This window comes from Homo sapiens, chromosome 7 (assembly GCF_000001405.40).
Source record: "Homo sapiens chromosome 7, GRCh38.p14 Primary Assembly".
Lineage (NCBI taxonomy): Eukaryota > Metazoa > Chordata > Mammalia > Primates > Hominidae > Homo > Homo sapiens.
Window position 1 is genome coordinate 43,611,169 of NC_000007.14, and position 26,472 is coordinate 43,637,640.

A 26,472-nucleotide genomic window follows, 5' to 3' on the forward strand; every position below is an offset into this window, starting at 1 on the left:
GCAAACTTGATAATGTCCCATTTGAATTTAGGTGGAAAGGTAGTTTCTTTTTAAATACTAGTTTCCTACAGAAAAATTTACTCGTTTCCTACAGAAAAATACAGGGAAAAGAAAACAATGTGGAAGTTTTCTTGTTCTCTTTTGAAAGATGCCAATGTAAATTCATTTTATACACATTTATCTTTTCTCAAAGATATTAATTTTTTAATACCATGGCTAAAATGGACACTCAGGACCCAGTAGCCACATGGTACACAGTGGCGTTTTTTGAAAGCAAGTATGGACATGTGCACACCCACACGCTGAGGTGGCCTGATGTTAATGCTGAAGGTTACCTAGTTAAAACCTTTCATAGCTTGGGTGGGGGCATTGCTTTTCCCCTTCAGTGTGTCATATGCATAAGAAGTTCAAAGATCCTTGCTGCAAGAAATTTCCACCTTGCTTCCCTCGGGAACATTTACAAGGAAGATATGGCCTCCGCAGTACGGACTTTCACTGGGCTAATACTTTAAGTATTAGCCATGCAGAGGAATTCCCAAAATAAATGTTTATGCTGTAGCTTCTTTCATGTTTGGTTTTACACTCTTAACTTTGCAAAATCGTGTATCTGTTTTATTTTTTAATGATGTTTTACTAGTCTTATGATGGACTTCCAGGAAGAGAACCCCAATTTAAATAGCATTGCACCTATAGGAAATGAGCTTTCAGCTTATGACAGTTGAACCTGTGACTATTCAAGAACTAATTAAGTAGCAAGTCAAACAGGTTGTCAGCACCATGTGTCATGGATCTTTGATGTTACTTGAGAGCATCAAAGGTGAATATTAAGTTCTTGAATACCAACTTTAAGTGTGTATTTACACAAGGAAATTATATCCCTTTCTCCTCAGTATATTCAGTATCAATCATATTCCTTTCTCTCTAATACACTTGGTTTAGAATTCTTTCCAGATTCAGTAGAGGCCTTGATGACGATGACAGGCCTTTGATGTTGGAAACTGGACTCTCCATGTTTCCTCGACCCAGAGGAACTAGAAGACAAAGTGGTCCAAAGGGTTCTCAGCCTTCCTTCTGCCTTCATGCCCCTCCATGTGCAGTCAGACATGTCTCTGAGTCAACTACTGGAGGGAGAGGATAGAGATGGGGTTGGTATGGCAACCATGCATGCGGGAGTGATTTCTACTAAAAGGTCATTTCCAATTGGCCTCTGTGAGTCTGGATGAAGTGAGTCTGCTGTCCTCTGTCTTCGACAGTGTGTGCTCATAATGTTGACTCTTGGTCTCTAGAAGCGTTTGAAAGACTAGGCTATTTTTTAAGAAATTATTTTCCCACATTGCCTCAAAGCTAAATATATTATGTTTTCATTCTCTAAAAACTGATAATCCCAATATGTATGGTAATTTTGAATTATTAGGCTATTTAGTCTCCATGCTGGTTAAAATGGGAAACTCCTGTCCCTGTGACAGAAGTTAGTTGGAAGTTAAAACAACTGTTATAGTTGCTTCTATTAAGGATATAATTGACGCTATGGGAAATACACTGCTTAGCTTTGGTGCAGAGCCTGAATGATCAATTTGCCAAAAGACTGATTCACTGAAGACTGTCAGCCAAATATCTTAAATAGAGCTGGGAAAGTTCTTGGGGTGGGGGAGGGAGTAGCAGATGCAGATTTAGGAGTCTGTAAAAGTATGAGTCCATACAGCCACAAAAATAGAAAAGACAAGCCATGATTAAGAGAAAACCCATTCGTTTAATATATAAAATGTTGCAGAAATTGCAAATCTGAGAAACAACAACCCTGGCAAAGTCAGAACAAAACCAACTAAAAGTACCCAAACAGTCTCAATAATTTGGTGAATTAGTCATTCAGTACAGCGGCCTGGTTTTAGTCCTGTCAGAGGGAGGGAGGACTGACTAAAAATAGCACAAAGAAATCTGGTCTTAAAATCTATTGCTCTTTTTTCTTCAAATGGTGTTGTACTGGTTCAGTCTTTCAGCAGTGTTAGTACAGTCAGCCCTCTGCATCCATGGATTCAACCAACCACAGGTTGAAAATATTCAGGGTGCAAAAATTCCACAAAGTTCCAAAAAGCTAAACTTGAATTGGCCCCCCACCAAGTATTTCATTGAATCCACACAAATGAGGTGATGTGTGGTATTATAATAGCTATTCTGAGTAACCTAGAGATGATTTAAAGTTTACAGGAGGATGTGCTTAGGTTATATGCAAATACTGTACCATTTCCTATCAGGAACTTGAGCATCACAGATTTTGGTATCTGCAAGGAGTCCCTGAACCAATCCCCACTGATACCATGGGACAACTATACTAGGATTCTATCACTAACTTTTCCACCCAGTTATGCTCATGGTTAAAAGTAGACTAGAAGAAGGCCAGGTGTGGTGGCTCACACCTGTAATCCCAGCACTTTGGGAGGCTGAGGTAGAAGGACCACATGAGCCCAGGAGTTTGAGACCAGCCCAGGCAACATAGTGAGACCTCATCTCCACAAAAAATTAAAAAAATCAGCCAGCCATGGTGGCACGCGCCTTTAGTCCCAGCTACAGAGGAAGCTGAGGTGGGAGGATTGCCTGAGCTCAGGAGTTCGAGGCTGCAGTGGGCTATGATTGCACCCTGCATTCCAGCCTGGGGAACAGAGTGAGATCCTGTCTCAAAAACTTTTTTATTAAAACATTAATTTCTAAAAATTAATTTCAAAAAAAGTAGCCAGAAGCTGGGACTTTCCATATGAGATTTAAATTTGAGCATCAGTATATTACTTGAAAGCAGGGGTAATAAAAACATTCCTAAACAGTCCCCCAAATTAATTTAGATGGGATTATTAACCTATTTCTCTACTCTAACCTGGGTTTTAATAGTTAATATACTAGAACTTTAATTGTCTGATAAAATGTTCCTTAAAACCCTGCCCATGACACCCTAAGCCTTATTGAGCAGGTTAACCTCAACTTTACAATGATCTTAGCCGCCAAATCTTCTCCAGTGGTGATTGTTCAGTAAACGTTAAATGGATTATGTACAAAGATGAAGATACCGAGATAAATAAAAGACTTCCCTACAGCCACCATCTATTTACGGACCGTCTGCAGGTTTTCTGCCTATTCCACTGTTATCACCTCTCTATTGATTGACCTTGCTTCTTTCTCTCCCTTACTACCTGGGATTCATATATTTTAAATAGAACTAGATTTTGTGTGCCACAACTTCTTTATAATGAACTGGATTCCCTAGAAAGGAAGTTTAACTAAATTGTAAATGCTGAGGTACTTAGCTTTGTTTTCAGGACATGTATTTCGGCTTATTGGAAGTAGATATATTTCACCATCGAAGAACTAACAGAGCTTATAGTCCTGTAATTGTATATATATTTTATTTAGAGAAGCAAAGTCTATTTTTAAAAATAGCCCTGTGGTCAAAATTGGGCACAGTTAGTTGGTAAAGGCCACATAATAAATATTAACTGAAATCCCATGAAATAGCTCTGATTTTATGAGAAATGTGTTTATTCTAGCAACCTCTCTCTCAGTTGTTTAACTTCATTTTTAGAAAGTCTCTCACATTGGTGTATCATAGATGCATGTAACAGGGCCTAGACTTCTCATACAATAAGATTTTAATAATTTGATCACACTGATTTAGGATTTACAACATTACCACCAAACCAATTAGTTTTTGCATAGTAACTAAAGAAAGCATTTCTCAGGGAATATAAAGTGTAAATACATAAAAGGGAAAAACATTTAAACTATTTTAAGGGAACAAATGGTATTTAAGAACATTCATAGAATGTACATGTTTACTAATCACAAGAAAATCTCAAGATTTGGTGAAGATTTTCCCTAGCAGTATTTCACCTGGCATTTTGCGTGTACTCAAAAGGGCAAAACATTCAATTATGAATATGTATCACTGAACCAAAGCCCTCCTATCAAATTTGCCTGAATAATAAGACATTTTGTGGTTACTATAGTTTTTGTTTTGTTTTTTGTTTGTTTGTTTGTTTTTGATAGGGTCGTATTCTGTTACCCAGATTGGAGTGCAGTGGCACTATCTCGGCTCACTGCAACCTCTGCCTCCCAGGCTCAAGTGATCCTCCCACCTCGGCCTCCCAAGTAGCTGGGACTACAGGTGTACACCACCATGCCTGGCTAATTTTTTGTATTTTTGGTGGAGACAGGTTTTCATCATGTTGCCCAGGCTGGTCTCGAACTCCTAAGCTCAAACAATCCACTCACCTCGGCCTCCCAAATTGCTGGAATTACAGATGTGAGCCACTGCGCCCAGCCCTTTTGTTGTACTATAGTATTTTATTAACATACGAAAACTAAAATTGCCTTGAAAAGTCTGAGGACTCATAGTCATGATGGTACATAGGTGTTTTTTTCGTGAAGAATTAGCTAGAAGCTAATTAACAAAGAAAACGTGGCCTGCCTTCTGCCATTTACTCCAGAATAGCCTACAAAGCCCTGTGATCTCCTAGCCATTTCCTTTCCAACCTCATGCCTCCCACCACTCGTACCCCTTTTGCCTTGTGCTGTCGTCCAGCCACACAGGATTTCCTGCAGATGCTCCACAGCAGTACGGCCTCTATACTTCTCTTCCCTCTGCCTGGAATGCTTCCTGCTTACTCCAACCCCTCCAGGACACTGAGCTGTGACTGGCTCTTTTTTAACATTGTCCTCTCCTCCCTCAGGTTGCCTTCTTAGAGAGGCCTTCTCTGACTCCCCTAAAGATAACATGCCCATGCACACACCCCAAGCAACCACTCTCGCCCATCACCCTGCTTTGAGTTCCCCATAGTGCTTAAAGCGACCTGAGGTGTACTTATTTGTCTTAAGATGCAGGGCTCCAAAAGAGAGGACTGGTGTCTTGTTTTCTGTTATTTCCCCAGGGCCTAGCTCATTAGGCAATCAATAAATATTTGTTGAAAAAATGAGGAAATCTTTTTACCCTTCAGGGTCTGCTCACATATCTCCTCTGTAATTTTCCAGGGCAGAATTAATCACTCTGATATATTTATCGCCTGAGCACTTTGTATATATTGCTTTCATGGTGCAATTCACAGAAGAGTGACTTGAGCCTGGCAGGTTCATCTATTTTCTCTTGATTATAAACTCTGACAGTAGGGCGTTCTTATTGCTAATATTTATACTACCACTAGTCCTAACACAAAATAGACACCCTGTTAATTTTTTTATAGTTATGTTTCTTCCATTCATTCACCCAACAAATATAAATGTGTGGTAGGCACTGATCACAGTGACAAAAGAGTAATCAGTACTGTGGCTTCTGTCCTCATGAAGCTGTAGATTCTTCCCGTTCTCTGAATTCAGACTGATAAACCTACGGGCATTTTCATAATAGAAAAGGGTAGGAAGGATGGTTGGATAGAAGGTAAGACCCTTTTTAAAAAGAGGGACCGTCTGGCCGGGCGCGGTGGCTCACGCCTGTAATCCCAGCACTTTGGGAGGCTGAGACGGGCGGATCACGAGGTCAGGAGATCGAGACCATCCTGGCTAACACGGTGAAACCCCGTCTCTACTAAAAATACAAAAAATTAGCCGGGCGTGGTGGCGGGCTCCTGTAGTCCCAGCTACTCGGGAGGCTGAGGCAGGAGAATGGCCTGAACCTGGGAGGTGGAGCTTGCAGTAAGCCGAGATCGCGCCACTGCACTCCAGCCTGGGCAAAAGAGTGAGACTCCGTCTCAAAAAAGGAGGGACCATCTATGCCTCAATTTCGTTTTTCATATTGTAGCCCCTCTCATCTATGGAAATTGTTGTAATCTGCTTCACTACCATCTTAGGCCTTCTCACCAAGTTGAGACTAGGCAAAGAAGAACAGAAAAAAGCGTTCTAGACTGAGGGAATACCATATACAAATTCACTCTTGTGAGAGGGAGCATGGCAAGTATGAGACTGGAAAGTGTCCCGTGGGACCCAGCTTCATGGAGCCGGGGGATCATGGCATATGATGAGTCTGGAGAGCTAGTTAGGCAGAAGCTGGACCTCAGGACATGCACACCATGCGAAGGAGTTTGGAGGTTACCTAAGAGCAATGGGAGGCTGTGGAAGGGTTTAGGAAAGGGGACAACAGATCCAATTTATATAATACAAAAGAACCTTCTGGCTTCAATGTGGGCAAAACAGATCCTAGCAAACCTTTGAAGAGGCCATTGCAATAGAGCAAGAAAGGTAGCTTTAATTTTCCGTAGATGGAGAGAAATAGGCAAAGTCTAGAAATGCTTGGAATTTAGTATTTAAAATCAACTATGGTGACATGTTAGCTAAATGGAAGAGCGGGGAGGAAAGGAATGGCCAAGATGATTGTTAGTGTTCTCTCCTATTCTGAGGGATGATCATAGCATTCACTGAGACGCCTGTCATTGGCATAGGGAGAATATGATTTAGGAAGGAAAATAGGAGTCTGTTTTTGGTCATGTTGAATTTGAGGTACCTTTGAGACATCAAAGGGGAGATAATAGGTAAGCAGCTGGTTGAAGAGGTCTGAAAGAGAGAAAAACATTGTGAGTCTTAAGGTGTAGGTGATATTTAAGCCTTGGGTGCAGATCATGCAAGCTGAGAGTTTGGAGTAAAAAGAGGAAAGGCCTCAAGATCAAGCCTTGAGAAACCCAGCATCCAGTGGACCAGGTAAAAGAAGGTGGCCCATCAGAGGAGATGGAAGACACAGCCAGAGATAGGAAGAAAGCCAGGACAGTGTTTTGTCATGGGAGCCAAGAGAAAGATAACATATAAACAAGGAAGGAGTGGTTAACTTTGTCAAACACTGCTAAGGGAGGGGTCCAGAAAAAAGCATTGAAGAATATCACTGGATTTTGTGATTTGTAGTGGAATGAGAGGACAGAAGTCAGATGGAGGGGCAGAATATGAATGGAAGGAAAGGAAATGTGAACATTCATTCTATACATCTAGAGGACCAATGTGATGGAGACAGAAACAAACAGCTAACAGAACAATAGAGTAAGCATGCTGTGTACACCATGCTGTGGAGCAGGGACGGGGCAGCCATTAAGCCCTCCCTGGAAGGAGCAGGGGAGGCCAGGGCAGGCTTTACAGAGGAATTGGTTCTTTATTGAGACCCATCATGCATGGAATGAGGGATGAGAATAAATCTGTCAGGCAGAAAAGGGGAGAGGGCGTCCTGAACAAAGGCAGTACGTGTGTAAAGGCATGAGATGTGGGAGTAGCTGTGTTATTTAGGGATTACAGACTGTTTGATTTGGAGCACAGATTGCCTTTGGAGCCGTGACAGATTAATCTTGAAAAGGAAGCAGGGGCCCAATCTTAAAACACTGGGTGTTAGAGTGAAGTATTTGTAATTTACCAGTGTTTCTCAGCTTACCTTTGGAAATATTCTTAATGGCAGAAAACATTAAGTGAGGACCCTTTATAATGCAAGCACAAACTTTCCTTTCAAATTTCGTGTTTTAAAAATTTAATGAATTTTACATTCTAGTCCATAATATATTTGCTTGTCTTTTTATGTGAAAGTATCTTAGGTTATTTTCCACTGGGTAAAAATGACTCCATGGATATGAACCTCACTGATTCTGTGGCTCTGGGGAGCTCTTTCCCATTACTGTACATGTCCTCACCCCACATATCCCCACTCACAAGTCCAGAGAGAACTTAGGGTAGAAGTCATCAGTATGTAAGTGGCAGCTGAAGCTTTGGAAGTAGATGAAATCGCTCCAAAATAGAATGCAGAGTGGTGGGAGAAGAGGGCCATGCAGCGAGAGATCCTGAACAACACAAATATTTAAAAGGAGGACAGAAGGAAAACATTGAGAAAATTGTGAGGGATCTGTAGAAGAAGGAAGAGACCCAAGGTGGAGAAAATGGGGAGGAATTTCAACAATACAAGGATGCTTGACAGTGCCCAGTGCTACAGAAATCATTGCATGCAAAATAGTCCCTGAAAGACACAGACGGGATTTGGTGGGTCTTTGATTATTGAAGTTATTGTGACCTTAATGAAGGCAGATTCAGTCAAGGGGTCAGAAGAGATTTAGTTGCACTGAGAAAACAATACCAATTGTGCTTGACCATGCTTTCAAGAAGCTGAGCTTTGAGGGAATAGTAGGAGCAAGCGTGCTGCATGCAAGGAGATTCAGGATCATGGGGAATGGTTTCCATAAGGTAGGGATAGAAACATATTTATATGCTGAGGAAGAGCCAGAGTAGGGGAAGAGATTGAAAATACAAGAGAGTACAGGCCTGCTGCCTTATACATAGGCAATAAATTGTAAAAATATTTCTTTAACAAATGACTGTTTACTGTTAAATTCCTCAGTCTCAGTTTCATAGGTGAAATATGTTTTATGGGCTGCATGTTTTGTGTACTTAATCATAGTTATATTGATTTTTGCGGGGGTGTATTTTCTTTTAGCCTCAGAATATTCTGTTGACAAGTGAATCTCCATTGGGTGACATTAAGATTGTTGATTTTGGCCTTTCAAGAATATTGAAGAACAGTGAAGAGCTCCGAGAAATTATGGGTACCCCTGAATATGTGGGTAAGTATTCATAAAAGTAGTTTTGTTCTGGGGTCAGGCATCACCTTCATTAGGGGACTTGTCCATGTGGCATGACTCATAGTGGAGCCAGCTATCTACTATGTTGAAATTCTACCATCAGAGATCTATTCCTTTGGATTACATTTTACAATGGAAAACGTTCAAGAGTAAGATACCAAATTGGTGATCTCTTCACTATCTCTTCACTACAGAGCTAAGAGAATTTGAAGGGATTACTTCTAAAAGGAATAGGAGAGGATTTTCTTAACAAAGTAGGATATTAGCTTATCTGAGGGTGGGAGGATATTTAACAAGTAAGGACCTTTAAGGATGTTCTGGTTGATAACAAACATTGACAAAGGAATTGCCAAGTCTGAGGCTCCATAGAAGTGTGGAGCAGAGAGGGCATTTGGTTGGATCCATGGTTGAGTGCTTCTGGCAGAAAGAAAAAGGAGCTTAAACATTGAAGGTAGCAGCAAGAAAGCAGCTGAATGATGATACTCCATGGGTGTAGGCGTATCATCAAAGAAGTCAACTATTACTTTCTTTGATAGACTGAGGAAAATTGGAGTTTGAAAGATTAATAGTTTGATGGTCTTTTTAAGGTATCTGTAGAATAAGGCTGTGAAACTGAGAGGTTGTGACCAGAGATTAGATTATTAATATTTAGGCCAAGTGCAGTGGCTCACGCCTGTAATCCCAGCACTTTGGGAGGCCAAGGTGGGCAGATCACTTGAGGCCAGGAATCTGAGACCAGCCTGGCCAACATGGCAAAACCCGTCTCTACTAAAAATACAAAAATTAGCCAGGCGTGATGGTGTGCACTTGTAGTCCCAGCTACTCGGGAGGCTGAGGCAGGAGAATGGCGTGAACCTGGGAGGCGGAGCTTGCAGTGAGCCAAGATCGTGCCACTGCACTCCAGCCTGGGCGACAGAGTGAGACTCCGTCTCAAAAAAAAAAAAAAGAATATTAATATTTAAAATTTCAGTGGTGAAATAGCTCTTTGTAATTATGAGGCCTTGGATATAAGGCTGGAAAGGCAGTTTTTTAGACCAGGAAATCAAGAAGCTGTGAAGGTAGGCTGTCTGGGTCATGGACATCAGTGTGGAAGTCACCTAGGCTGCCAGCAGACCTGGGAGAAGAGGAGGGCGGCCGTGGCAGGAATGGAGAAGGCTGTGGCCTGGGCCTGAGGGAAGACTCTGTGCCTGAGGGTAGAAGTGTGAAGTGAGCAAATACAGGCTAGAAGAGGGGGAATGAAGAGAGCAGGGTCTCCTTTCAGAGAAGAGGGTAAAAGGAGTGTGTAGTTCTTGAAGGACTGAGGATGTTACAAGAAAAGAGCTATCCGGAGCACAGAAAGACTCAGGAGGGCCGATAGGGTTGAAGAAAACAAACCTGTATGGCAATGATAGTTCAAAAAATAATTCAGAGATTTTTTAAAAGATCCTTAGTTAATTAGATAATAAAAGATGCCACAGGCACAGAAACAACCTTTAAAATTTTTTATATATTTTAATGGGCCAGAATACTTAATTTTCAGTACACTGACTAATATGCGTCATGACCACTAAGTTAGTTTTGGGGATGTGACTTAATAGTGTTTCTTTAGGGAAAACAGCAACCCAAGTGTTTTAGCCAAATTTAATGGGTACCATTGTAAGCTCAAATACACAAGACTGCAGAATGTAGGTCTGTGAGCTGAAAAATCAAAATAGTAATTATTGCCCTGAATGAGGTGGGTTTTTGTTTTGTTTTAATGCTTTCTTTGTTGTTGTTTGAGAGAGTCTCACTCTGCCACCCAGGCTGGAATGCAGTGGCACCATCATAGCTTCCTGCAGCTCCCAACTTGAGCTCCTCCTGCCTCAGCCTCCCGAGTAGCTGGGACCACAGGCACGTGCCAGCACAGCGGGCCAGTTTTTTGTTTGTTTTTTTGGTAAAGATGGGTCTCACTGTGTTGCCCAGGCTAGTGATTTGTTTTAGAGCTTTCTGTTCCTTAGTAAATTTTAAATTTTCTATCAAGAGCCTTTCCCCATCTCAAAACATTATAATGGAAGTACAAGCTCAATCCAAAAAGAAAAAAACTAAAAATGATTCAAAAGTACATAATACAGAAAAACAAAGGGACTCTCCTCTTTTTCCTTCCGTGACTCACCTTTTAAAAGGTGAGTTTATGCCTCCCACAGTCATTTTACATACACACAGAAACTGGTGTGAGTTCTGGCCCTGTACTTGCCATCTATGTGACCTTGGCCCTTAAATCTCTTTATACCTCAGATTCCTCTGTCCATAAAAAGGGGCTAGTAATAGTACCGACCTCATAGGGAATTTGTAAGGATTTCATTGGATTTGCTGTACAAAGCCCTTAAACCAGTATTCAGCACATAATAAGCACTCAAAAAAGTAAGCTATTGGTATTTCCTGTACCCTTCCTCCCACAGTCTTGCTATGTGGTCTGTTTTACTGTTTCTTCCCCGGTAATTTGGATGCTATGCATTTCATTTTTAATTTCCTAGTCACTTCTTTTGAAACTTTAACATTCACAACCTCTGTTTCTCACTCAACCATTTCAGAAATCAAAATTTAGGAGATTAGCATACCTCGCATTTCCTTTCCAACCTCTTCCTCCCACTCATTTATTCTATGGGGGTTTGTCACAAATGAGTAGTAGATACATGACCTTGAGTATTTCGTTTTTTCATAGAAATAGAACATTTTCATTCCTTTTTTTAATTGTAATTACCACAGTTTTTAGTCTTTGGTCTGTTTTTCTGTGGATTCAGTACTTATTGACTGCATTTTAATAGTTTAGCCTCCTTATTTGTATAGTTTTGAAAAAAAAAATCTTTAGTTAAGTGGATTGTGAGTAGATTTTTTTAAGGAGCATTTTTATAATATTTTTCCTGAATCCTTGCATATTTGACAGTGTCTTTCTATTGTGTTTATGTGTGGCAGCAATTTACTTTATATCAAAGTTTTTTGTTTTTGTTTTTTTTTTTGTGAGACACAGTCTCACCCTATCACCCAGGCTGGAGTGCACTGGCACTATCTCGGCTTACTGCAGCCTTGACCTCCCAGACTCAAGTGATCCTCCCACCTCAGCCTCCCCAATAGCTGGGTCTACAGGCATGCACCATGACACTCGGCTAGCTTTTGTTTATTTTTTGTAGAGACAGAGTCTCATTATGTTGCCCAGGCTGGTCTTGAACTCCTGGTTCAAGCGATCCTCCTGCCTTGGCCTTGCAAAGTGCTGGGTACCCAGCCTCAAAGCATATTATTTTTCTCAATTCTATAGATGCAACTTAGTTGCCTTTGTCCCATGCCTGTAGTGTCAGAATGCCCAATTTTTTTTTTTAACCTTGTTGACTTTTTGTTAATGGGTAGATGTTTTAAAAAGCTCACTCTGACTGCAACAGAAAAATAGATCAGAGGGGTGGGACAAGTAGTTGAAAAGGCCCAGGTGAGAGGAGAAAGTGCCACGGGTGAGGGTGGGGCAATGGAGAAGCAGAAATATCAGTGGTAGTGAGAAAGTTTTAAAAGCCATGATCTGATAGAGACAATGCTTAATAACACAGAGATTGTCAGTTTATGTTTGGTGTTTTTAAAATATTTAAATATTTTGTAAAATACTAGGGACTCAACAATGGTGGGTAGAAGTGTGAAAAGTAAACAAGTTAATTACAAACATCTAGTTAGGCTTTATATTAATTCATATTAATTTATGGTAACCTTTCATTTTAGCCCAAACGTTGGATAGTGCCTTATAGTTTCTAATGCTTAGTTTTTTATCTCTTAGAGCAAATTAGGAATTTTTTTCCACAAAACTAAATGTTTTCTTCTCTTTCTGATACTAGCTCCTGAAATTCTTAGTTATGATCCTATAAGCATGGCAACAGATATGTGGTAAGAGTTATTAATGAAAAATTGATCAAATTAGTTTCAAGAAATGAGTATGGTACTAAATTTTTCTTGCATTTTCTTTCTAATTTAGGAGCATTGGAGTGTTAACATATGTCATGCTTACAGGAATATCACCTTTCTTAGGCAATGATAAACAAGAAACATTCTTAAACATCTCACAGATGAATTTAAGTTATTCTGAGGAAGAATTTGATGTTTTGTCTGAGTCGGCTGTTGATTTCATCAGGACACTTTTAGTTAAGAAACCTGAGTAAGTATTATTTTTATTAGTTTAATATTGAACTAATTCAATATTAAAAAATTCAGTATTAAAAAACTGACAGTTTTTTCTTGAATCTCCTCCAACCAAAAATAGTTCAACTTCTAAAACACCATAATGGAAACACAAAAATGTTGACATAAATCTAGGTGAAACCCTTGGCTTAATATAACTTGAAAGAAAAGGGGGCAAAAATGAAAATATTTTGAGAAAATGTGAACCATACCTCAGTATAACAGGATTTAAATATTAATTAGCAAAACTGTATTATTGCAAATGTGTCATGGCAGTAAATAGCACTCATAATTCATGGTTAGTAGAAATTGACAGTGAAATGACAGCTAATCTCTAGCAGATACTTCCCATCTGTTCTTGGTGTCTCTCAAGAGAGCGTTTCAGACATAACTTACTTAAAATATTTCAACATTTTCACAAAATTTTCAGCATTGTGGGAAATTGCACCCAAATTCCAAGACTAATAGTTTTATTCAGGAATCACAGTAAGATTTTTGCCAACTTGTCAGACTTCCCAAAATATAATGCAATAAATACAGTACCTTATGCTCTAATTTTAATTGAAGTTCTAACATGTCTTAACTGTAAAACATGTATCTTTACAGAGATCGAGCCACTGCTGAAGAATGTCTAAAGCACCCCTGGTTGACACAGAGCAGTATTCAAGAGCCTTCTTTCAGGATGGAAAAGGCACTAGAAGAAGCAAATGCCCTCCAAGAAGGTCATTCTGTGCCTGAAATTAATTCGGATACCGACAAATCAGAAACCAAGGAATCCATTGTAACCGAAGAGTTAATTGTAGTTACTTCATATACTCTAGGACAATGCAGACAGTCTGAAAAAGAGAAAATGGAGCAAAAGGCCATTTCCAAACGATTTAAATTTGAGGAACCTTTGCTACAAGAAATTCCAGGAGAATTTATCTACTGAGCAATATTTCCCTTTAGAACTTCAAGATTTCTACATTGAAAATGTTAATATTATTTATGGACCTCTGGCCAAATGGTACATGTACTGGAAGTGGATAACCAGTATCACTTACACAAACAAAAATAACTTTGTCAAATTTGTGGAGTTAGGTGGAAGCCAGATTTTAAAAGTTGCCAACCAGGAGATTTAACAGGTACAGTTACCCGTTTCAATGTTATTTTTAAGAAGGGAGATGTTGGCACCTTTGAATTCTACATCCTGTTTCTCCAGAATGAGAATTTGTGTACAAAGATATTTGTATTCACTTTCTTTAAAAAATCCAAGTAAAAGTGCCAAAACTACACTTCTGTAAATCTCTTGCATTATTCATATGTGTATCTATATCTGCATAATGTTTGTTAATGTCTACTAAAATTGCTACTTTTTCACTTTGGATTTGTTTTTGGCAAAATTTTAGTCTAAACAGACATCTAAATTTTCGAGACTTAGAATAACATTCACTAAAGTTTGATAATGTCTTTTTTAAATATTTTCTTACTGCTTTATAGTGACTTGATTTGGTTTCTGTTGTGTTTTTGCCTAAATACTAGTAACATATCAGTGAAAAACCCTAATTTTTTTTCTCTTCAATGTCACTAGTAAGAGAGGTGGTAATTTTTCACCTCTGAAATTATTCTGGGTTTAGGTGTCAGCTCTTGAGCTGCTTCCCTCATCACACCACACTCACATGCATCTGTTCTCTCTCACACTCTATACCCCTGCCACTTCCTGGCACCTCCCCCCATGCTTGTCATTTAATTTTGGCCACTTGTAGGTATCAGTGTGATCTGATCAACACTCTGGTTACCTTGGTCAGTGAAAAGATGCTACTATATTGCTTTTGTCCCAAAGTGAGTAAAATCCCCTAGAGCAGAGAGAGAGAGAGAGAGAGAGAGTGTCTTCATGCCAACCACAGCCTGTTTCTGCTGAGTTTCTTATCAGCCCTCAAGCTATGCTAGGAAAAGTTATAAAATGCCAAAATATTTATAAACATTTACTTTGTCCATAAAAAATTTACATTGGATACTCTGTAAGTAGGAGGTACTTTGTCCCAAAAAGATGTATAAGAATGTACTAATAGTTTTATTTGATTAGGATTGAACAGTTCAGTTGTATCTATGCCCCACAGTGACCAGTAAAGTCCAATTAAAATATGGAAATGTAAAAGTGTATGCCGAATACCTTAAAGTAACTAATTATCCTTACACACAAAAGGCTCAGTGCATTAAATATTTGCCTATCACCTGTGTGCTGTGTACCGTGGCCATGCCTCGCTCTGCACTATGAACAACTCAGACCTGTCCCTTCACGGTCTGATTAGGGTGTCACACAAAGCTCTCTCCCTAACATGGTTTCTCAACTGTCAAAATCATGAAAATGACAGCACCTAACCACTATTTTAAAGTATGTACAGTAAATACCCAAATGTGTGTAAATGTCATAGACATATACAAAGTCAGTAATCTCACCCAGTCCTGCTGTGTGAACCTGTCAAAGCACCTGGGAGTGCCCTTTACACCATTAGGTGAAATTCATCAGGCACTTCAGACAACCAGGTTGCACTGTTTTCTCACTAAATTGGCTTTATTTATACAGTTTCCTGGAACCTAGCATTCCTAAACAAGCTCCAAAATGCAGAAGAAGAAATTGTGCCACAGTGATAGAGTTTTTAATGAATATCCATGGCCACAGTTTTGAGTCTCAGGTAAGTCTTGGAAGAAGTTAAACACAGTATTAGGCAAATATTTATCTCTCTGAAAAAATAGGGAGGAGGTGACCAGGAAAAAATAACCACTATTGAATGACACGTTTGTACTTGATGGATCTGTCATCAAGTTTTAAAATCAGAATCATTTGGGCTTTTTAAAAACCATTTTATACTCGTAATAAATATATTTAATATAATTGCTGTATTTGTGAGAAAGATCTGTTTTCTTTTAGCTGGCCACTTCAGTTTGCTGCGTATCTTTAGCTGCTGTTGTGCTTAAATACTGAGTCATAGGGTGCTTTTTTAAGAGGCCCTTCAGAATATACTTGTAAAGGTGTATTGGCATTTTTTGGTTTATAAGATAAAAACAGGGCATGAAGAGCCTTCATAGTATTAGGCCAAATAAAATCTATTAATAACTGCCAGCTAGCTCTACACTTATCTAAAGCTGTTAATGTTCCTTTTTTTCTATCACCAAATTTATAAAGGACTAAACAGTACTATTGAGTTTACTCGGTTTATAAATCCAGTTTTAACTATAATTCAACAATATTTTGGTGTGGTGAAACGTTGTTTATGAAATGTATAAAATGTATAAGTTTTAATCAACTGGGAAATGATATTTGATTGATCTTGTGTTTTGTTGTTTTCAAATGAAAACTAGGAGGTAATTAATACCTTTCTCTAGTAGTGGTATAGAGGAAGGACAGATGCTCATTGTTGAATCTCTTAAATTTTTCCAGCTAACCTCAGTTTGGAAGAAAAATGTATTAAAGGGTTATAAAGATCACTTAGAGAATGTGAGACAGAACATGAATTATAGTCCTCAGTAATGTAATGGGGGTGGTGCGTGACTCAGTCCATAGAGGCCTATACCTGTTTAGAAAAAATAAATACCAATCCATGGACACCAACATACATGAATATAGATAGGAGAAAGATGACTAGCATCAGCAGACTAATCCTAAATACATTTTAAACTCACACCTCAATTTGAATTAGACTGATAAAAATGAAAAATAGCCATGTACTATATTTATTGTCCAAGATTGGCCACCTCATCCATTCTATCTGTTGCGGAATTTAAAAAGCTAGATTGAACACCTTGATCTTAACCTCGAGAGCCTTAATCACTATTGTTTTGGAGAGAAGGGGATATAATTTACATATCATGAAATGTACAGATCTAAATCCATACAGTCTCATCAGGCTTGACAAATGTACTCACTCCTTTAACCACACTCCTGTTCTGTTGCACTGGTTTTCCTTATCCTCAAACTCATGTAGTTGGAATCATACAGCATGCACCATTTGGCTTCTGTAACTCAGCATGATGTCTTTGAGATTCATCTATGTCGATGCTTATATCAGCAGTTTGTTGCTTTTTCTTGTTTTGTTTTGTGTTGTGTTGTTGAGACTGGAGTTTTGCTCTTGTTGCCCAGGCTGGAGTGCAATGGTGGGATCTTGGCTCACTGCAACCTCCACCTCCCAGGTTCAAGGGATTCTCCTGCCTCAGCTCCCCAAGTAGCTGGGATTACAGGCATGCGCCACCACACCCGGCTAATTTTTGTATTTTTTTTTTAGTAGACATGGGGTTGCACCATGTTGGTCAAGCTGGTCTCGAACTCCTGACCTCAAGTGATCCACCCACCTCAGCCTCCCAAAGTGTTGGGATTACAGGCGTGAGCCACCATGCCCAGCCTGGTTTGTTCCTTTTTATTGTTGTGTCGTGCTATTTGAATGCATGACAGTTTATGTAGCTATCCTTCTGTTCATGGACCCCTGAGCTGTTTCTGTGGGGCTATTATAAATGTGCTATAAATATTCTTGTACAGGGATTTTTGTGGACATGTTTTCATTTCTCTTGGATTAAAAAGCTAGGAGTAGAATTGCTAGGTCTTATGGTAGCTGTATATTTAACTTTTTAAGAAACTGCCCAACAGTTTTCTAAAACCATTGTGCTGTTTTGTGTTCCTGCCAGCACATTGTACTCTGGTTGTTTTTTACATCCTTGCCGACAATTGGTATTGTCCACCTGTTGCATTTTAGCCATGCTTCTGGATATGTGGCGGTATCTCATGGTGGTTTAGTTTGCATTTCCCTGATGACTAATGGACAGTACTTTTCATGTCCTTTTTTCCTTTTAATTGGATAGGACTCCTTTGTGCATTCTGGACATAAAGGATTGTCAGATTTATGTGTCACATATCTTTTCCCACTCTATAGCTTGCCTGTTCTCAGTAGTATCTGTTGATGAGAAGAAGGGTTTAGTTTTGGTGAAATCCAATTTATGAATTTTTGTTTTATAGTTAATGCTTTCTTTGTGCTCTTTAAGAAGTCTTTGCCTACCCAAGCTCATGAAGATACTCTTATTTTTCTTAGGAGTATGATAGTTGTAGCGAATATTCAGGTCTGTGATTCACCTTGAATTAGTATTTTTATATGCCATAAAGTAGGTAGGCATCAAATACCTTTGAACATTCTACTGAACGTTCAGTGGTTCCAGCACCACTTGTCAAAGAGTCTCCTTTCACTGTTAAACTGTTTTGGTGCCCGGTCTAAAATCATTTGACCATATATCTGTGGCTCTAGTTTTGTTCCATTCTGTTTATCTTTTTGTCAAAACTTGGTAAGTCTTGATCTCAGGTAAAACAGACGTTCTAATTTCTTCTTCTGCAAACTGCTTTGTTTATTCTAGGTCCTTTGCATTTCCAAATAAATTTTGTCAATTTCCACCAAACTACTCCCAGAAGAAGCCTTGTGGATTTTTATTAGGATTCACTGAATCTATAAGTCAAGTAGTCATCCAATCCATAAACATGTTTTTCCATTTACTTCATTTTTTCTCAGCAGTGTTTTACATTTTTCAGTGCAGAGATCCTATATATCCTTTAACTGTATCCCTGTGTATTTCATGGTTTTTGATGCTGTTGTTTTTTGGATAGTCTTCATATTTCAGCTTTTTTTGTTTGCTTTTAATACCCCAACTCTCATTTTTAGCTCATCATGCCTAACCAGAACTATGTTATAAATTATTTAAATGAGTCTTTTGAAACTTTTGTTGGTAACAGTGGGAGTAAGTTTGCTTGAACTGAAATTTATAGTAACAAAATTGGATGGAATCCCTCCTCTACTTTTTCAGATTAGAGATGCAATAATGGAATCGCAGAGGGAATATGTGATTTGCCCAAGAGCTCACAGCTGGTTATGGGCAGAACAAAGGACAGAATCATTCAGATTTCCTGACTGCTCGTCAAGAACTTTTACCTCCGTGGATTCTACCTTTGGCCCCATTTTAACGTCCAAAGTAGTTTTTAAAAATTACTTTTGTGTAACTTAATTTTGGGTTTCTTTTTTAATAACTAGAGGACAGTTAACCTGAGATGAGGCTAGTGCAGAGGTCAGCATACTGTGGCCTGTGCTGCCTGTTTGGTGAGGTTTTATTAGAACAGCCACACCTGTGTGTTTACATTTTGTATGTGGATGCCTTCACACTACACCGCGCGGGTGAACAGTTGTGACAGAGATCTGAAGGCCCGTACAGCCTAAGGTATTTAGTATCTGGCCCTTTACAGAAAAAGTTTGCCAACCCCCAGGCAATTATAATCTAAATATATTTAAAATAGATATTTTCTATTTAAAACCAATCTTGACACAGTCCTTTGGGGAGCAGCTTATTTTACATGGCAGGATAATCTTATGACATTTTCTCCTTGCCATTTTTATTGAAATAAGTGGAGATTTTATTTACTAAAAATAAAACTATTTTTCCTAAATATGTTAGCAGCAGAAAAGTATCTCAGTTTCAATACATTGTGATGGGTTTGCATGAAAATTAGTATCTCTTTAGTTATCTCAAGTAACCAGCTTTCTAATAAATTGTAAGAGAAGTATACCTAGAAGATAAAGTATTTGGGAAGAGATATGTTTAATCCTCAGCTGCAATTATTCAGGTGAGGAGGACTGTCACCTCATCCCTGCCCCCGCTTTTTTTCTCTAAGCCAATAAAACTGTACCCTGTCCCTTTTAAAGCAGCATATTCAATACTTTCATCCTATACTTTTTAAAGCTTTTGATTTCGCAATAGTTACAGACTTACAGGGAGTTGAAAAGACAGTACAGATACATCTTTACGTAACTACAGGAAATTGATATTTGCACAATGTATATCATTTTATGCCATTTTATCTTCCTACCAACACATTTGAGATATGGAACTGCTTCACTGCTATATAAAGATCTGTTGATATCTACATTTTACCAGTTAGAGTGAAATGTAGAAAACTCTCTTGCCCGTCCCCTCCCCACCCCATTTATAATTGTCTTAAACATAACCTGCTACGTACATTGAGATCTATGTCAGACAATTTTGCTTCCACTACCAATTTAGAAAACTCAAGGAGGAAAGTCTATTGTATTTACCCATATTTTTGCTGTTTCCATCGTTATTCCTGACATCCCAAAACTTTTTTTTTTTAAATGTTTCCTTTCTGGTTCAAGAACTTCCTTTAGGGTTGGTCTTTTCAAGGTCTATAGGGTAGACTCATTCAACAAATTCTTTTAGTTTTCTATCAACCGAGAATGTTTTTATTACCCCATCAATCCTGAAGGATCATTTCACCAAATAGGAATTTGGAGTTGACAGAGTTTTGTTTTGAGGCAGTCTTGCTCTGTTGCCCAGGCTGGAGTGCAGTGGCAGGATCTTGGCTCACTGCAACCTCCACCTCCCGGGTTCAAGTAATTCTCGTGCCTCAGCCTCCCAAGTAGCTGAGATTACAGGCATGTGCCACCATGCCTGGCTAATTTTTGTATTTTTAGTAGAGACAGGGTTTTGCCATGTTGGCCAGGCTGGTCTCAAACTCCTGACTTCAAGTGATCTGCCCACCTTGGTCTCCCAAAGTGCTGGGATTACAGGTGTGAGCCACCGTGCCCAGCCACAAGTTGATAGTTCTTCTGGCACTAAAAGAACTTGTCTCACTTCCTTCTGGCCTCCATGGTTTCCAGAGAGAAATCCACTGTCATCTGAGTTACTTTTCCCTCTAGCTAAGATTTCACTTCTTTCTTGATGCTTTCAAGCTTTTTTCTGTCTTTAGTTTTCAGAAGTCTGTCCTATCATGGACTTCTTTGGGTTTCACTCAGCTTCTTAAATACAGGCATAACTCAGAAATACGCATCACTTTCAGTTCCAGACCACTGCAATAAACCAAATACAAGCAAGTAAGTCACATGAATTTTTTGCCTTTCCACTGCATATAACATGGTTCATACTGTAGTTTTTTTAAATGAGCAGCAGTGTTATGCCTAAAAATAATGTACATACATTAATTTAAAAGTACTTTTAAATGCGAGAGGAGGGTAGGAAAAGATAAGTTGCTGAAGCCTGCAGTGACTGTGGCAGTTTCTTAAAGTAAGACAACAGTGAAGTTTGCTGCATTTATTAACTCTTTCATGAGAGATTCCTCTGTGGCATGCAATGCTGTTTGACAGCATTTACCCACAGTAGAACTTCAAAATTAGGAGTCAATCCTCTCAAACCCTGGCCACAGCTAAGTTTATGGAATATTCTAAATCTTTTGTCATTTCAACAATGTTCATAGCATCTTCACCAGGAGTAGATTCCATTTCAAGAAATCACCTTCTTTGCTCGTCCATGAGAAGGAACTTCTCATCCATACAAGTTTGATCCTGAGGTTACAGCAATTCGGTCACATCTCTAGGCCCCTCCACTTCTAGTTCTCTTGCTATTTTCAGCCCATCTACAGTTCCTTCCTCCTCTGAAGTCTTGAAACCCTCCAAGTCCTCCATGAGGATTGGAATCTATTTCTTCCAAATTCCAATTAATGTTGATATTTTGACCTCCTCCCGTGAATTGAATGCTCTTGATGGCATCTAGAATGGTGAATCCTTTCCAGAAGGTTTTGAACTGACTGCCCAGAACCATCAGAGAAACCACAAAATGTATTTCTTAAATAACAAGTTTTGAAAGTCAAAAGTACTTCTTGATCTATCAGCAGCAGAATGGATACTGTGTTAGCAGGCATGAAAACAGTATTCATCTCCTTGTACATCTCCATCAGAGCTCTTGGGTAACCAGGTGCATTGTTAATGAGTAGCAATATTTTGGTTTTTTGGATTTGTTTTTTGAGACAGGGTTTCACCATGTTGCCCAGGCTGGTCTTGAACTCCTGGCATCAAGCAATCCACCCGCCCCAGCCTCCCAAAGTGCTGGGATTACCGGTGTGAGCCACTGCACCCAGCCATATTTTGAAAGAAATCTATTTTTTCTGAGCACTAGGTCTCAACAGTGGGCTTACTCAGTAGACCAGGCTGTAAACAGACCCAACGTCATCCAGGCTTTGTTGTTGCGTTTATACAGCATATCTTAAGGGCCCTGGGATTTTCAGAATAGTCAATGAGCATTGGCTTTAACTGAAAGTCACAGCTGCACTAGCCCCTGACAAGAGTCAGCTTGTCCTTTGAAGCCAGGCATTGAGTTTTTCTAACTATGAAAGTCCTAGATGGCATCTTTTTCCAATAAAATGCTGTTTTATCTACATTTAAAATCTGTTGTTTAGTGTAGCCACTTTCATCGATGGTCCAAGCTAGATCTTCTGTGTAACTTCTACAGCTTCTCCATCAGCACTTGCTGCGTCACGTTGTACTTTTATGGAGATGGCTTCTTTACTTACATCTCATGAACACTGCTAGCTTCAAATTTTCTCCTGCAGCTTCCTCACCTCTCACATTTAGTGAGAGGCCACTGTGGGGTTATTAATTGGCCCAATTTCAATACTGTTGTGTCTCAGGGAATAGGGAGGCCTGAAAAGTGGGAGAAAGACGAGGGAATGGCCAATTAGTGGAGCAGTCAGAACACACACATTTATCAATTAAGTTCACCATCTTATGTGGGTGAGGTTCATCGTGCCCAAAACAATTACAATAGTAACATCAAAGATCACTGATCACAGCTCTCCATAATAGAGTAATTTAAAAGTCTGAAGTATTGTGAGAATTACCAAATGTGACACAGACACAAAGTGAGCACAAGCTGTTGAAAAAGTGGCACCAAAAGACTTGCTCGACAGTCGCCACAAACCCACAATTTGTAAAAAACACAGCATCTGCAAAGTGTAATAAAGTAAAACACAATGAAACTAGGTATATACGCCTATAAAAGGTTCATTTGTTTTTGACAAATTTGTAAACTCTCAGCCATTTTTTTTTTCAAATACTTTTTCAGCCCCACCCTCCCTCTCCTCTTTCTTAGAGCCATGATTCAAATGTTAGGTCTTTAGCTAGAGGCCCACAGGTACCAATTGCAGTCTGTTTTCTCCGCTCAGATTTTTATTTCATCTTTAAATTCAGTGATTGTTTTCTCGTTACTCCTCATTCTGCTGTTTAACCCATCCAGTGAGATTTTTGTTTCATTTACTCTTCTCAATTCTAAAATTTCCATTTGATTCTGCCATCTTCTAAGACTTCCTATTTTTTTCATTTATTCCAAGCATGTTCATGATTGCTCACTGAATCTTTTTTTTAAATGATGGCTGCTTCAAAATCCTTGTCAGATAATTCTAAAATCTGTGTTATCTTGGTGTTGGTGTCTGTTAACTCTCTGTTCTCATTCAGGTTGACATTTGCCTGGTTCTTGGCATAAGAGCATGGCTTTCTGTTCTATTCTGCCCATTTGGGTTTGAGACGCTGGACCTTGTTTGAATCATGTTTTCGTAGGTCTACTCTGACACCACCCAAGTGGGTGACGGGGGCATGTGGTGGGGTTGATGGTTCAGGCTCACTACTGAGCCCCTTTGAATACAGGCAGGGGGAGGGGTGGCTAAGTGCAGCTTCCCGCTAGAACACGTGGGTCCCACTGATACCATGGGAGTGGGGGCAGTTGTTCCTCCTGGGTCAGGGTAAAAGTCTAAGCTCCCAACATGGCCTCCACTGACACTATGGGGGTGGGCCTCATTACCATCCTGCAGGGATAGATGTCCCAAGCTCTCTGCTGGGCTAGCTCTGACACTGCTCCAGCAGGGGATGGGGAGGCCTCATTACAACAGGCAAAGAAGGTCTAGGCTCCCCACTTGGCTTTTGCTGATGAGGCTGTGGGATTGGGGCCATGGGTTTTTCCATGGTGTTTGCATAGAGTAGGGCAGTTACTTCTTAGAGTTCTCCATCTTTCTAAGTTGCCCTGTCCTGATCCTTTGGCTAGAGACACCAGGCTTTGCTTAGCCGTTGGCTCCTATTGGTGTTTCTGGGGTACTGGTTTCTCCAGTGCCTCATATTTGCCCAATATTAGGCAAAAGAAAACCCAGGGAAATCGATGCTGTGTTATTCCTTGGGTACTGAAGTTCCTAGCCATTTGGTCTTCTCATCTTTCACAGTAGTCTGATGTTTGTTTTATGGAAGTCCAGGCTGCACTTAGTGGAGGAATAGCGAGAAGTGTGTCTACTCTTTCTTGTTTCTTCTACTTTGTTTTGAATAGTGAATTTTCTAACAATGTGGTCCTAGAAAGTAGCTTAATTTATAAAATATATGCTTATAAATATAACTTTTATATAATTTTATAAATATTGACTCAGTCAAACCACCAAGGACATGTTCTGCAATCAATGGTTTGTGTGTCTCTCCAATTGAATATTAAGTCCTAGATCTAAGCCATGTCTTAGGTTAAAATAATTCCAGGATTTCCCGATATTGAACCACCTTTGCATTCCTGGAATAAACCTCTATTAGTCACTGTTAACAGCAGGGTGCACTAGGTTAAGCTGGGGTAACAAATAGCCCCCCATCTTAGGGGCTTGTAAGGGTTTATGTCTCCCTTATGCTCCGTGTCCCACTGTGGGTCAGCTGTCCGAGCCCCCAAGCCCTTGAAGTAGCCACCATCTGGAACATTACCAATCTTAGGGACGAAGGCAAAGTGGACAGCATGAACCAAGGGCTGGCACTTAAAACTTTTACTCAGAAGTCCTGCATGCCACTTCCACTCACAAGCCACACAGTCACACCTAAGTTCAACGAGGCAGGGATGTATAATCCTCCCACAGGAAAGAGCACTGAGAGGGAGAAGCACCAACCTATTTCGTGAAAAATAATACAATATACCACTACATATCACTGGACTCAGTTCACTAATATTTTATTTTGAATATTTGCATCAACCTTCATAAGGGAGACAGGTCTATAGTTTCTCGTTTCATAAAAATAATTTGGAAGTGAAAAATTACTTTGTCATTAAGACTGCAAGGTGACTGATGTGGTAGCTCAAGTTAAAAGATAAGTGTTAAAAGATAAGTGTTACATGTTTTAGGTGTATAGTAGGGGGTCTAATTTCTGCCTTGGCGGCTTATTATTTAATAATAAAAGGTTTTTAACATACCTCATGTGATCTGATAAGTCAATTAAAAAGTTTCCTTAAAAAAATTCCTTTTGGAAATTTCCTCTAAGGGAAAAAAAACTTGCAAGATAATTTAGGAATGAAAAGTACTCTCTCCTGCAAAGTCAGATTTCACTTCGGCACCCAACCCGTGTCTTAGAGGCATGTTTTTAGTATTTTCATTTCCTACTTTTCTGCCCTGGATTATAACATGGGCGCAGTTTTTCTGTACACATTCCTGACAGTGCTTTCAACTCAGGAACTCTGCCAAAAAACATGCCTGAACCAGGAGCGCATTACTAAGGAGGTGAGAATCTTCTAGTGGGTGGAGACTGGAGGTTTTCCTATCAATCACCCTCCCACCTCTTTCTGGACCGCCCCCATCATTGAGCCTCCTGTGTAAAACAGCATCTTTTGCCCAAGCATCCCAATGAGCAGTATAAACATTGTCTCACCTGTAAGGCAAGTGATTGGTAAATATTTATTCATATTTTTCAGATGGACAAACTGAAAACGCCAGAGAGTCAAGTGGCCTAAAGCCACTTCCAAAGCTGCTTGCTTTGGGAAAACCCTTCAGAACTGCCGCTTCTTGAGCATTTCCCTGGCCTTGCTGGTGGCCAGAGGACAGAAGGAACTATTGTTAAGTTCTGGCTGTTTTGTGTATATGTAATTTTAGTGTCACTGTTCCTGTATACAAATTTTACCAAAACTCAGCAATAAAACCTTATCAGGTATTATCATGTCCTTGGGTTGGTGAATAGGGAATGTTTGCAGGCAAGTGGAGGCTAATTCTAGGAAAATTGAACAAAGACAGTAAAATCTGTGACTTACTTGAAAGTCATACAGGTCTTGTCAGTACACATTCAGCACAATCTCTGAAACCTTCATTAACAGTAGAATCATGTGCTTACCCCCAAATCTTTGATGGCCACAAATTGTATGCAAAATGTCAACAGTGGCATTCACACACTGTGGCCAACCTACCTTTCCAGGCCTCTCTTTTACTTTACCTGCGCTCATCTACACGCTGTCCAAACTGGGCTTCTGATTTCTGGAGCACAGCTCCCATCTGCCCGCTCTGGGGCCTTTCTTCATGTTGTGCTTTCCACTTGCATGTTGTGCTCTCCATCATGTCTGCTTATCAAAATCTTGGACTTCAAGGCCCACAGGGACACTACTGCCTCTGGACAGCCTCTTAGATTCCCCCTAACTGATATCTCTCTTTTCTACATCATTTTTAGCACCACAGCTTGAAATTCTTTTGGCACAGTATTATAATACTCTCTACAACCCCTGCCCATCCACCCAGCACACTAGCTGGTAAGGAACTTGTGGGTGGAGGCCCTGCAGCCTCTTCTATAGTAAAGCACATAGGAGTCACGCTACCATTTGCTGGCTGTGATCCCTCTCCTGCAGTCTTTACAAGTCTACAGTTTGTATAATTCTAGGAAACCCCTTTCTCTGGTCTCTGGGCTATCCTGTCTCTTTATGGGATGTACTGGGGGCCCTTCCTCAAAAAGTCACCTTTTCCTCTGATGCATTATCCAAGACATCATTAAGGTAGTTAGTGGAGTCGATGGCTGAGTCACAGTGATGAATGGATATACAGGAAACAGTGGACTGCAAGTGTACATCACTGCTATCCTCAAAGAACAGGAAAGACAGTGTCTACTGC

General features: G+C 39.7%; 2 protein-coding genes across 56 annotated transcripts in view, besides 1 other annotated feature; one reads left to right on the forward strand and one right to left on the reverse strand.

Annotated features, from left to right (window-relative positions):
• The window catches only part of STK17A (serine/threonine kinase 17a), a 44,272-nt gene extending 28,061 nt beyond the window's left edge, over nt 1-16,211 (forward strand). For both annotated transcript variants that reach the window (NM_004760.3, XM_017012792.2), the window contains exons 4-7: nt 8,429-8,555; nt 12,404-12,452; nt 12,541-12,720; nt 13,350-16,211. In NM_004760.3, coding sequence (NP_004751.2) covers nt 8,429-8,555; nt 12,404-12,452; nt 12,541-12,720; nt 13,350-13,674 — 681 coding nt within the window. In that variant the 3' untranslated portion in view covers nt 13,675-16,211. The remainder of the gene's footprint in view (nt 1-8,428; nt 8,556-12,403; nt 12,453-12,540; nt 12,721-13,349) is intronic.
• The window catches only part of COA1 (cytochrome c oxidase assembly factor 1), a 121,067-nt gene that overhangs the window by 2,712 nt on the left and 91,883 nt on the right, over nt 1-26,472 (reverse strand). For 11 of the 54 annotated variants that reach the window (XR_007060076.1, XR_007060087.1, XR_007060088.1 and 8 more), the window contains one exon: nt 13,287-22,240. The exons of 9 other annotated variants lie outside the window; for them this stretch is intronic. The gene's annotated coding sequence lies outside the window, so the exon portion shown is untranslated. The remainder of the gene's footprint in view (nt 1-13,286; nt 22,241-26,472) is intronic. 34 more of the 54 variants (XR_007060079.1, XR_007060093.1, XR_007060098.1 and 31 more) reach the window with 12 other exon arrangements.
• Nucleotides 25,002-25,296: a silencer, noted in NCBI's record as "tiled region #11578; HepG2 Repressive DNase matched - State 14:Gen5'". NCBI's record gives its function as "represses a minimal TATA promoter and a strong SV40 promoter by Sharpr-MPRA in HepG2 cells {active_cell/tissue: HepG2}" and the evidence as "EXISTENCE:reporter gene assay evidence [ECO:0000049][PMID:27701403]".